General features: G+C 34.1%; 1 protein-coding gene across 5 annotated transcripts in view; it reads left to right on the top strand.

Moving 5' to 3' along the window:
- Window positions 1-13,097, top strand: part of DACH1 (dachshund family transcription factor 1) — a 429,239-nt gene extending 416,142 nt beyond the window's left edge. For all 5 annotated transcript variants that reach the window (NM_004392.7, NM_080760.6, NM_080759.6 and 2 more), the window contains one exon: window positions 10,371-13,097. In NM_004392.7, the coding sequence (NP_004383.4) occupies window positions 10,371-10,408 (38 nt within the window). In that variant the 3' untranslated portion in view covers window positions 10,409-13,097. The remainder of the gene's footprint in view (window positions 1-10,370) is intronic.

Genomic DNA, 13,464 nt, shown 5'->3' with positions numbered 1-13,464 from the left:
GATGATTATCATCATCATAATTTTTTGTTAATTTTGCTTGGTTGTTGTTATGGTAATACAGTTTTAAGAACATTCAGTTCTTGAACAGATTTGAGTTCATAGAATCACAGGATGCAGATTTCGACCCCATTTGGGGCAGATCCTTGAGTACAGACTAGAATATCATTAATACCCTCTCTCTTAACCTTCATAGAACAGAATGAAGTTAGGGCTTTCCTCTGGATGAGGTTGTGGCTTAAGGGAATGTGGTTGGTTTGATCTTTTATTCAGAACCCTCAAACTTTCTCCATATCAGCAATAAGGCTGTTTTGCTTTTTGTTATTTGTGCGTCCACTAGAGTAGCTTTTAATTTCCTTCAAGAACTTTTGTTTTTCATTCACAGTTTGGCAAACTGTGCAAGAGGCCTAGCTTTTGTTCTGTCTAGGACTTTGACATGCCTTCTTCACCAAGCTGAATCATTTTTAGCATTTGATTTAGAGTGAGAGACATGCAAGTCTTCCTTTCATTTGAGACCATGGTAAGATTATTAATTGACGTAATTTCAATATTGTTGTGATTCAGGGAATAGGGAGCCCCAAGGAATGGGAGAGAGATGGGGTAATCAGTTGTTGGTGGAACAGTCAGAACACACGCAACATTTATTAAGTTCATCGTCTTATATGGGCATAGTTCGTGGAACCCCCAAAACAGTTACAATAGTAACATCAAAGATCATTGATCACAGATCACCAAAACAGGTATAATCATAATGAAAAAGTTGAAAATATTGGGAGAATTACCAAAATGTGACACAGTAACATTAAGTGAGCATTTCCCCAGTGCGGAGTTGCCACAAACTTTCAACTTGTTAAAACAAACAAACAAACAAACAAAAAACCAAAAAAAAAAAAAAAGTATCTGTGTCCCACAATAAAATGAAGCAAAATAAAAGGAGGTAAGCCTGTACCTTATCAAACTGTGTTTTACAGCTTTAGATGATCTCTTGTTCTCAGAACATTTTTTCTTGTTTTAGGGTACATGTGCACAACGTGCAGGTTAGTTACATATGTATACATGTGCCATGTTGGCGTGCCGAACCCAGTAACTCGTCATTTAACATTAGGTATATCTCCAAATGCTATCCCTCCCCCTCCCCCCACCCCACAACAGGCCCTGGTGTGTGATGTTCCCCTTCCTGTGTCCATGTGTTCTCATTAGAACATGTTTTCAACTAACCTGTGTTCTCTCATGTACTTTCTTATTTGAAGAGAACTGAAAAAATATATAAAAGCGGTTTGTGATTACAATTTTTTGGTCTAATTATTAGCCACAATCAAGAACTTTACTTCATACCAGCCTTTTTTAAAAAAATTTTTAATGATGCAATAAATTCGTTTACTTTAAGCTCTGGGATACATGTGCAGAACATGCATGTTTGTTACATAGGTATACATATGCCATGGTGGTTTGCTGCACCCATCAACCCATCATCTAGGTTTTAAGCCCTGCATGCATTAGGTATTTGTCCTAATGCTCTCCCTCCCCTAGCCCCCAACCCCTGACAGGCCCCAGTGTGTGATGTTCCCTTCCCTGTGTCCATGTGTTCTCATTGTTCAACTCCCACTTATAAGTGAGAACATGAGCATACCAGCCCTTTTTAGTAAGGCACATTATCTACTCTGATTTCAAATAAGCAAGGCCATGTTGGTCTATTATGTAATTCATTACCTATTTCTTTTCTTTCTTTTTTTTTCTTTTTTGAGACAGTCTCACTCTGTTGCCCAGGCTGGAGTGCAGTGGTTCGATCTCGGCTCACTGCAATCTCCGCCTTCCAGGTTGAAGCAATTCTCCTGCCTCAGCCTCCTGAGTAGCTGGGATCACAGGCATGTGCCACCACGCCCCGCTAATTTTTGTATTTTTAGTAGAGACAGGGTTTTGCTGGTCTCAAACTCCTGACCTCGGGCCATCTGCCTGCCTCGGCCTCCGAAAGTGCTGGGATTACAGGCATGAGCCACCATGCCCAGCCACTTCATTACCTATTTCTTATTGTGGTGTATTTGGAGTGTACAGACAAAGTACCCTAGTTGTTGTACTTTCCTGCACACAGTCTTTGCTTATTGTCTAGAACAGCACCCAGTGCTAATGGAAAAAGCATATAAAGAGGATATGAGGTCTAATATGATGTCTAGTCCTCTCTCACCTTGACCCAACTCTGTAGGCCTCAGGTTCCCCAGTTACAACCTTGAAAAAAAAAAAAAACCACAGAATCTGTTACTACTTTTTCAGTTTTTACTTTTTAATTATATTTAAACACAGCTTTGAATATATTAGTCTTCAAACATCTGGAAATCACTTGCACTGTTATTATCTGCATTTCATGAGAAGAACTGATAATTATTCAGTATCCTCTTATAAATGGGCCTGTGCAGAACATCAGTCTCACTAAAATATTTCTCATGTTTAATGTAGACTTTGTGTCTCTGCTTTCTTGCTTTAGCAGTAGCAGAATGTTCTTACTCTAAATATAAAATTATAAAAAAAGCAAGAAACAATATTTTCTTTAATTAGCTTCTTCCTTTGGGGGTTTTAGAAGAGGGGTTATGACTTGACAAAGATCCTTCCCATCTGTTCCTGTTTGTTTGCTTTTATTTTGACTTCCTTTCGTTGTCTTATCAAATATCACATGAATCATTAACATTTGTTTTCATCGCTTGCTTTGGTTTCCTTTACTTCACATGATGAAGACATTATGTTGAGAGACACACACGGCTACTATATTTTATATTAACCTCAGATTCTTTAAGTAAATATTAAACTTTCTGGACATGTGATGTGATATGTTTGCCCTCTGCTGTGTTAATATTTTCCTCAGCTCTGGAAGAGTGAGGCATCTGCATGTACAACTGTTTTGTGAAAGCAGCAAATATCCCTAGATTACAGGTGCCTGGATATAAGTTTTGAACAAATAGTTGACCTGTTTAATAAAGCTACTTCCTAACAGAAAACGCAATTTATTAAGTCCTTCGTGCAAAAGATGTGTAAAAGATCCTTGTGGATGTTTGTGAGGGAGTTCTTCCCAAAACTGGAATAGAAATCTATTTGCATATTGTGTGATACCTTCCACAAGCATACTCCATTGTTAAGGATTTTACATGACTTTCACAGTGAACAAATTGGATTTTTTGGTGTCAATTTGAAATTGTATTAATTTATATGTCATCTTCTTATATAAAATCTTGTCACATAATGTGAGTGGGTTTTTTTTTTTTTTTCTCCAGGCTGGAGTGTGGTGGCGCAATCTTGGCTCACTGCAACTTCCGCTTCCTGGGTTCAAGCAATTCTCCTGCCTCAGCCTCCCAAGTAGCTGGGACTACAGGCGTGTGCCACCACATCCAGCTAATTTTTTTGTATTTTTAGTAGAGTCGGGGTTTCACCATGATGGCAGGATGGTCTCGATTTCCTGACCTCGTGATCCACCCGCCTCAGCCTCCCAAAGTGCTGGGATTACGGGTGTGAGCCACTGCGCCCGGCCATATGATTGGCATTAAACAAACTTCATTAGTTTTTAAAATAAATGATCAATCTGTTCAATACTCTAGTTTTTATATATGGAATAAAAGCTAAATTCCACATCTGTCTATATGTATTAGATGTTAGCAATAACTTCATATAATAATACATTAAAAAATATTAAACCAAACATTAAACTTAATCCATGAATACAAAACTAGAAATTTTGAGATAGAATTCTCCTGTCTGTCTCCTCAGACACAGTGAATAAAATATCTAAAATCTATATACTTACTGGGTCTGATTTGATGGTTGCAACTGTAGTATTAAAATCTGAGATCCATTTTTACAAATAATTTACAAGTTTTTCTTCAATTTATTTTCTGTAGATCTAAATCTGCATAGTAACAAACAGCATACAAAAATTCACACGCACAATAAACTATTCAGTGATCCTTCTTATATACCAAATGCTTTCTTAGACACGAGATACTTTCTTATACACCAAATTATAGCTGTAAGCATCAAATCACAATGAACTTTGAAACTATTAGGAATTTGTAATTTAAATAGTTTCGCTCAATCCCTACTCCCAAATGCTTTTAATTAGAACAGACTTTTTAATTAAGTACTCCCATGCACAAAGTTTAGCTTGATGACTTTTCTGTCATATCAACCTCCCATGCAAAAGCAAATAATCATTGTGTTAAAGGAAGGTATTTTCTTTGAAACTACGCTGTAAGAATTCTAGTTCTGATTTCAGTTTGACCAATTGAGGCTTTGCTGACTAAAAAGAAGCCCTGCTCCCAGGAGGAAGGCAAAGAGCAGATCCACAAGGCAGCGAGACAAATGGTACTAGGTGTTTAGGAGTCAGTCCTATAATTCTGTATGTCAAAGACATCATATTTTTTCCAGGGACAGTCCAGTTGCTTATTAGAGGAAAAGTGATAGAGTGGAATGGCCATGAAATTTGAATTCACAGAAATGTCAAATCACTGCACTTCCATTTGCTAGCTCTGTGAAAATGTGCAAGATACTTAAACTCTCTATGCCTTAATAGCCTTATTTGTAAGAGGCATTATTTTCTTGGGTTGGTGGAAAGTTTAGACTTAAAATCGATATAGCACCTTTAACATCACAGGTGCTCAGAAAATGTTAGCTTTACTGATACGAATCATTATTGCCAGTTTACTTAATCTTAATGTAAAGCTTTCATCCATTTGAGATATCGAGGAATAACTGATTGGTAAACTTGCCTCAGCATGAGGAACAAACAGGAAATATATTTTTTCTGCGTCAAACACATACAGAAAGAACCAAAGACAATGTAGAAAATGGTGGGCAGGAGTGAGATTATCTAGTTAGAGGGTAAGTATGATGTACAACGAGTAACCTTTAATATAAAATGTATGAATCAACCCTCTGAGTTGTCAGATGTAAACAGCACACCTCCGAATAATGAGGCCTCAGCTATGGACGCACTCCAGGGATTCCAATAATCTCTCTTTTGCCGCTCATTTTTGCAAAGTCTTCTCCATGGCCCATGGCTTTTCTTGCTGTTTGAAGAGTCAGGAAAGGAGAGAATATTGGGACCATTATTATATAACATACAGACATGGCACAGTTTGAATTATAGGACCATATATCCTTCCTAGCACATTTGCCATCCGCCTTTCATTCAGGTGGTTTGTTAACAGAAGGCTGAGTTAGAACCACAGCCCCATAATTCAGAAGCCTGTTGTTAGTTCCCTGGGTATGTCCACATGCAGCTATTTACTGTGGGCTACAGGGCCAATATAACTTCTCTGGAACATTATAACATTTGTTTAAAATTTTGTTCCTACAGACTTTTATTGATCTGCAAGTATGTTTTAATAAATATGACAAAATTATATGTTAGAACTGCTTTTAAAATAAGGGTCTGTAAATGAAAGAAAGATAGTCAGTCTTCAAGGGTCTGTCTGTGCGTGGTGCATTTCTGCCTCCGGTGGATTCTGAAGTAGAGGATCTCTGATGTTTAATAATTATTTAATCATAGAGAACTACCTGAATGTGACAGGTGGGGTCTATTTTATAGCTGACATCTTTAATGCTTGATACATTTGTCCATCTGTTAGGAACATTAGCCAAAAATTTAATAGGAGACATATTTATTAAAAGTAGAATTACAGCAGATCAGATACTGAGCACATAATGTATGTAATTTTTATAAACGTGTTTTATATAGTACCCATGGTAAAGATGCTTATGAAATACTTATTACTGGTATATTTTACAAATCTAAGAGAGTTTTATTTAAAATATTTAGTTTTAGATAAACTTTAACATTTCTAACATGCTAATAATTTTTGTTACATAGGCATATTAATGAATTTCTTTCTTCAAAAGTTTAACATTTGAGGCCACACTAAAACTTTTAATGCAAACAACACCATGCTGAAGGCTTCTCATTCTAATACTGGCAGAAAGAGGCAGCTGCCTCTTCCACGGGGCTTATCGTGGGGGAGGCTCACTTTATATGACTTCAAAGTGAGATAAGCGCTATAGAGTAATTCTTAGGGTGATAGTATTGAGGAGTACTTAGTGGAGCTCTTTGTAGAGAAGTTCAATAGGAGGCAGCAGAAGGGGAAGTAGGGAGAGAGGGTGTACTTGTATTCTAGGCTTCTTGAAGGAAGAACAGACCTGAATATTCCAACACAATATAGAGTTTGGCGTGCTGTAGAATAGACAGGCCACTAAACCTAGGGGAGGGAAGTAAAAGATAAGACTGAAAAGGAAAAGCAGCACCAGCTTAGGTACCACTTTGTAGACCATGGAGAATAATTTGGCTAGTTAATGTAAATATGGGTCTTTTAAATAATTATTCATACTTAAAAGATAATTTGTATAAATCCATTTTTTTGCTCCTGGATTCTTTCTACTTAATATACTGCAGATCACAGATGATTAGAAAACTATATTTAATACTTTAGTTGCTTTTCTTCATTGTACAGAGACTTAAGAGTTCCACAGTGAGTACTGAAATGTTACTTTTGAGCAAATTATTACTTTTTATAAAGTTTATGAAGGACTTAGGTTAATGAAATTTGAATTCTGTGGAAGTTGACAAGGTCTCGGTTCCCTCTGTTTAATCCTAGGAAACATTGCGTATTTTTTAAAAAATAAGAATGGGAATGATAATCTCAATATAATTGAATACATGCTAGAAATAATGAGACAATTGAAAAGAGAGTTAAGTAGGGATAAATAAATTAAGGGATTAAGAATTAGAAAGCTTTGGCAAAAGTATCAACACTCCATCTTTTTGGATACTTCTCTATTCTCTGTTACTAGATTTTTAAACAAATCAATGTTACTTTATGTAGTAGAAATCATTTGAATCAAAATTATCTTTAGAACAGTCCAATTTTTAGCCAAGTGGTAGTAAATATACGAAAGACAGAAATTTTTGTTCTGTTTATTTTTATAATATTATTAGGTTTGTTTACTAAATAAGTAATTGAAACTCCTGCTATGCTGAAACCACAAATAATTATATATTACTCATATAATGTAAGTGAGAAAAACATAGTTTGGTCCCACAGGTGAGCCCAATTAAGCTAAGCAAACGGAAGAAATCAGGCCATATTCCATACGAAAACAATAAATGTTACACAATATGTCAACATGGTACTGCCATATCCTTAATTAGAAATAAATTTTTACCTAAATTATATGGCCTTGATACTAGTATTTGATTAATACCTGATTTAGGAGGTTCCAATCTTTATTTAATACCAAAATGTCTACAGCTGAACTGCAGTAATATTTAGTATCAATCAGAAATGACAGTTAGGGGCCAAAGAGGTAAAATCCCTTTAGACTGCATATCTACACATATCTACAGAGAGAATTAGACACAGTTTGTGCATGTCTTTACATCATTGCTCAGAATTAGAGTTCAGCAGGATTAAATACATGTTTTCACTGATTAATCTTAGGTTATATTTTATATCCAAACATGTATGCTATTTTGAGGGAGCAGATCTTTATTATGATTATTATATGTTTCAACTATTAAGAAAAATCCTAGTGTATGACTGCTGAACTGAAAAGCTAAGGGTATTTCTTTTTTATTTTTTCATTTATAACTATTATTTTTTAATAGAGATGGGGTCTCACCATGTTGCCCAGGCTGGTCTCGAACTCCTGGGCTCAGGCAGTCCTCCCCGCTCAGCCTCCCAAAGTGCTGGCATTACAGTTGTGAGCCACCACTCCCAGTCCTGAAAAGCTAAGGCTATTTAGCAACTTTCAAGTAATCATTATTATTATTCTTAAAGTTGAACTAGATTAATTTTAAGAGAGGCAACTGATATCTGACACAACTTATTAGCATTTAGCCAGTCTGAGGCTAATCTCATGGACATCCCTGCCTCTGGGAGGGAAAATTGTGGATTTGAGATGTTCATTATATGTTTTTATACTTATAATATATGTAATTACATATAATATATAATTACATTTAATAATATATATAATTATATATATAATTCAATATCTACTTTGTGTAAACCATATGAAATCTATATTTTTAAAGACCTATATCTGATTAATGCATTTATTTAACACATATTTACTAAACTTACAGTAGTCCCTCCTTATCTATAGTTTATCTTCCCGTAGTCTCAGTTACCCATTGTCAACAATAGTTGGAAAATGTTACAGTATTTTGAGAGACAGAAAGGCTACATTTACATAACTTATATTAGAGTATATTGTTATAATTGTTCTATTATTATCCATGTAGCTATAATTGCATCATTATTATCTATAATTGTTAATCTCTTACTGTGCCTAATTTATAAATTAAGCTTTATCATAGGTATGTATGTATACAAAAAAAAACATAGTATACATAGGGTTTGGTACTATCCATGATTTCAGGCATCCACTGGCAGTCTGGACATATCCCCCACAGATAAGGGAGGACTACTGTATACTCTGTGCAAAAGGGAGGACTCTGTATACTCAATGAGCAAAATAGAGTTTCATGACATCTTGGAGGTAGTATTTCAACCCTACAAATGTTTATTAAGATGTTTTATTGCAGCATTATTCACAATAGCCAAGATTTGGAAGCAACCTAATTGTCCATCAGCAGATGAATGAAGAAAATGGTGTACACATACGCAATAGAATACTATTCAGCCATAAAAAGAATGAGATCCTGTCATTTACAGCAACATGGATGAAACTGGAGGTCATTATGCTAAGTGAAATAAGCCAAGCACAGAAAGGCAAACTTTGTATGTTCTCACTTTATTTGTGGGAGCTAAAAATTAAAACCATTAAATTTGTGGAGATAGAGTGTAGAATGATGGTTGCCAGAGACTGGGAAGGTTAGTGAGGAGAGTGGGGAGGGAGTGGGGATAGTTAATGGGTTCAAAAAAATAGGATGAATGAATAAAATCTAACATTTGATAGCACAACAAAGAGACTATAGTTCATAGTAATTGGTACATTTTAAAATAACTGAAAGAGACTGGATTGTTTGTAACACAGAGGATAAGTGTTTGAGGTGATAGACACCCCATTTACCCAGATGTGATTATTATGCATGCATGCCTGTATCTAAATATGCAGTGTATCCCATAAATATAATATATGCACCTAATATTTACCCACAAGAATTAAAAACATTTTTTAAAAAGGAAGGATTATAAAAAATAGAAAAAAATGAGAGGAATATATAATTTGGGCTTACCAATATTTCTATGAAGTACGACATGATTTAACATTGCTGATATTAAGTTCCTTGCAACTTACTATATCCACTATAGATTGTATAAAAGTAGTTGTATAAAAGTTGAAGGTGAGGTCCATAAATATTTAGACTATCTTTTTTATTTCCTGAATGTACTATAGGTCATTTATGTTTTCTTATATTTTAATTCTTCCAGTTACCAGACATTTTGCAAACATTTACATGGCAATATGTACTTTTCAAAGCTCGGAAAACTTTCCTTTTCTGATTGTTCTCCTTTCTACTGTACATATTAAAATTTGAATTTCAGACATATATTAGACAAATATATACAAAGTTTAGGCCATACCAGGAAGTAGACAGTTTAGAGGGTATTAAATATTTGAGAAATATGCTTATGTTTGGTATTGTTATTGTTTTATTTTTGGTTTGGACTTTTAATTTCCTATTTCTTATTAGTGCTTCATTCAAATGGATTTATTCGATGTCTCTAAGATTTGATTTCCTTTTCTTTTTCACACAACTGTGTGTTTGCTCATTAGTAAAAGTTGAATAATATACAGTGTTTACATTTTAATATTTAATTGTTGGATGAATCTCACTTCAAGGGGTAAAGGCTATAGTTCATTGACAGTGATGAAATAACCTAGCTGGCTTTCATATAAATAGCAACGAATGTGCACAATAGTTACATTACATGGTATATTTAACAACACTGCTAAAGAGTAAGATGGGAGTTCAGTCTTTCCTGATGGAGATACACCTGAGTGCATTCAGAGAAAATTTGGTTCTGCAAGCTTGAAGGAAGTAATTGTTATTCAACAGAAATCAACTAACTTTGCATATCAGTAAAATACACACACATACTCTTAGCTATTTTCTGAGTGCTCTGGAACTGATATCAAAATAGCAAATATATATTTATGAGAAGTAGAAATGCTGTATTCTTTTCAGTCACATAAACTCAGTGTAATTATGAAATTAACTTAACTTTGAGAAGATATGAAAAATGTTACTTCTTAACCAAGTAAAGATCTAATAAAAACTACAAATTTTATATCAAGTTACATCATTTTTACATGCACATTTGTACCCCAAATACCATGCCATTAATTAATTTTTCACTGTTCATTTCTAGATGGAAGACTGTATTTGAAAACTACTGTCATGTACTGAATCTTTCCTGTTGAAGAAATCCATGTTATAGAAAAGAACTTTGCAGTCAGACATTCGTCATGGGAAAGTTCAGAAAAAAATAAAGTCCTTTTAAGGGAACTTCCTGAATTTTGTGTATTAATGTTCTTTAAAAGTTTAAGTATTCTACAAAAAAAAAAAAAGTTTTCTCCATTGATTTTCACCTGTGGTTCATACCAGAGACCTGAGAATGTTTGTAAATGTACAAGTATCAAAGTTCTTACAGTTAATTACTGCAACTTGCTGCTGGACAATTGTATACAGAGTTAAAGGCAGGTCTGAATAAGACCTAGCTTTGTTTTTTTCTAATGGAATGAACCATTTTCCTCTTCTGAAAATTCTGTATCTGAGCACATCAAGAGACTCTTGTAGCAGTGGTTACCCAGACTTACAGAATTATGTCCTCCAGAAACCAGCAAGAACACTTGGAATGAACGAATGAACTTGTAGGGGGCATAGAGGATTCTTGAAAAAAAAAAATGCAAGAGTGATTTTCTGTTACATTCAATTTCAAACTCTCTAATTGTGGGTTTTCTCCTGAAGAATTTTTTTTCACATACTTTCCAAAAGACCAACAAATGGATGTTGACAACAACCCAATGAAATAACATTTTGCATATCTGAAAAGAAGCATTGAATATAAGCCAAAAGCTTTCACTGAAGGTTTTTTTTTCTTAAAAATAAAAAAAAATATATAAGTGTAACATGTTTTCATTCCAAACTGGTAGTGGTATGTAGAATTAAAGATAATAATGTTGCTTCTTATTCAAACTGTTGGTCATATGTACAGTATATAAACATAAAACACACAAGGAAGGTATTATGTATGCAGTAGTATACTAGAGTTTAGGAAAATGAAAATTTTAGAAAATATGTTTTGTCACCCTGTTGGTCAGAAAGATGTCTTTCTGGTTTTAACGCATGCAGGCATGTAAATATTTGTCTGGAGTCACAGTATTAATGAATGAGATCTTAAGCATCTGGTGACATCAGAACTCTGTGTCAGCCACTTTTATTTGTATATTGAACCCTAGCTAGTGCCCCAAGCTGCACTATTGGGAATGGATTGTGGCTGAACAGCAAATCAAAACACCAGAAATATTTTTATATGTTAACGTCATATTATGTTAATGTTGCTGAAAACAAAACCTAACAAACCTTGATGTACCAGTCCAATACCATGTAGCGCTGAGTGATAAAGTTAAAATGTGCTGTGCTTCCCACCCTTGTCAGAGGGAAGGGTGGCTATGTGTTATTTTCACTGTCTTTTTGAAAGTTACAGTATGTGTTTTCACTTTCGTGCAGATAACTGGAAGTAAAGCGGCAAACAGTGCTTATTACATGCTAAAGTTACCTTCTCTTTGTTTTTTGCATATCTGGAATTACACCTTTAAAGACTGATATGAATCAGTACGGTCACTATACATTTTATGATTTTTCTGTCATCTTAAAATTGTATGATCGTAACATTATTTATTACCACAAAACAGCAAAATCTTCAATGTCTAAGAAAACTAGCTTAAAATGTTTAAATATAGTTCTGATTGGGTATTAATTACTTGATTAAGAAAAAATTAACATTATAGATACTCTGGCATTACGCTTCTATACCTTTTAGGTCTTCCTTGCAATACTGGAACATAATTCTTTTGTGTAGCTCACTATTAGCCAGCTAAGTTCATCTTTTTAATACCATAAAAAGGTTATATGTACAGTTCCTATTTTAGCTTGCTTACAAAGGGAGCATTATTTTTATTTAAAGTATTGCTAGTAAATGATTTGTAGAAACTTGGTTTTCTAAGCATAGTTCTTCCATAACCACCTTTTGTTGTTTGAGCACAAGGGATTCTTTTCCTAGTTCTATGTGTTTGTTTCCCTATATGCAGTCTTTAAAGGATTACAACACTTAAAATTGAATGGACTTGTGTCAAGCTTTTTGCATCATACATTTTTTGAAAGATTTTTAAAAAAGCCTACAACTTACATATGTAGTAGAATCAGCCATTGCTCTGCTCCTGGCATAGAGTCACCTGTTTGTTATGTGGATTAAATAGTTTTAAAATACATATTTGAAGACCTTTGAGAATGCTTTAGTGTTTGATTTGAAATAAAAGGAAATTTTAGCAAGGATTAAAGAAAAAAGCTATCAGCTGTATGTTAAGAGAGACTCTTACTAACATGTTGTAAATATTACAATTCATGAAATGTTATTGTAAGTCTGTAACTTAATTTTTTCCCTGTTTTAGTTATACAGGTTGGTTTGGAAATTTGTGTTTTGGCATAAACAAGTAAAATGTGCCCATTTTATGGTTTCCATGCTTTTGTAATCCTAAAAATATTAATGTCTAGTTGTTCTATATTATAACCACATTTGCGCTCTATGCAAGCCCTTGGAACAGAACATACTCATCTTCATGTAGGACCTATGAAAATTGTCTATTTTTATCTATATATTTAAAGTTTTCTAAAAATGATAAAAGGTTATTACGAATTTTGTTGTACAAAATCTGTACAAAAATCTGTTTTTACATCATAATGCAAGAATTGGAAATTTTTCTATGGTAGCCTAGTTATTTGAGCCTGGTTTCAATGTGAGAACCACGTTTACTGTTATTGTATTTAATTTTCTTTTCCTTTTCAACAATCTCCTAATAAAACTGTCTGAAATCTCCCTGTGACTTTATTTACAGTTCATCTTTATTAAATTTTGTGAAATGCATAGCATTGAAGGAATATTTACTTTCTAATGGGAGGCATCTAAAAACAACACAAGTCAGCTCTTTGCAATGCAAGGGGAACAATGCTCAATGATTTTATTTAACATGCAACTGCTTCTATCTCTAATATGAATTACTGTGGTGAAAAACATCATAAAAGCACACTCTGTAGTTATTGTTTAACAAGCAGATTTTCCATATTTTGTTTCTTGCCAGCTAAGCAAACTGCCCACATATACATGATTTATTTATGTACATTTCTCAGTTTATGAAGCTGTTATTTGTACCTTTTTTCTTTATATTCTTATATTCCCATGATTC

Source organism: Homo sapiens, chromosome 13 (assembly GCF_000001405.40).
Source record: "Homo sapiens chromosome 13, GRCh38.p14 Primary Assembly".
Lineage (NCBI taxonomy): Eukaryota > Metazoa > Chordata > Mammalia > Primates > Hominidae > Homo > Homo sapiens.
The sequence above is the reverse complement of the archived record's forward strand: the minus strand, read 5'-3'. Positions and strand labels throughout refer to the sequence as shown.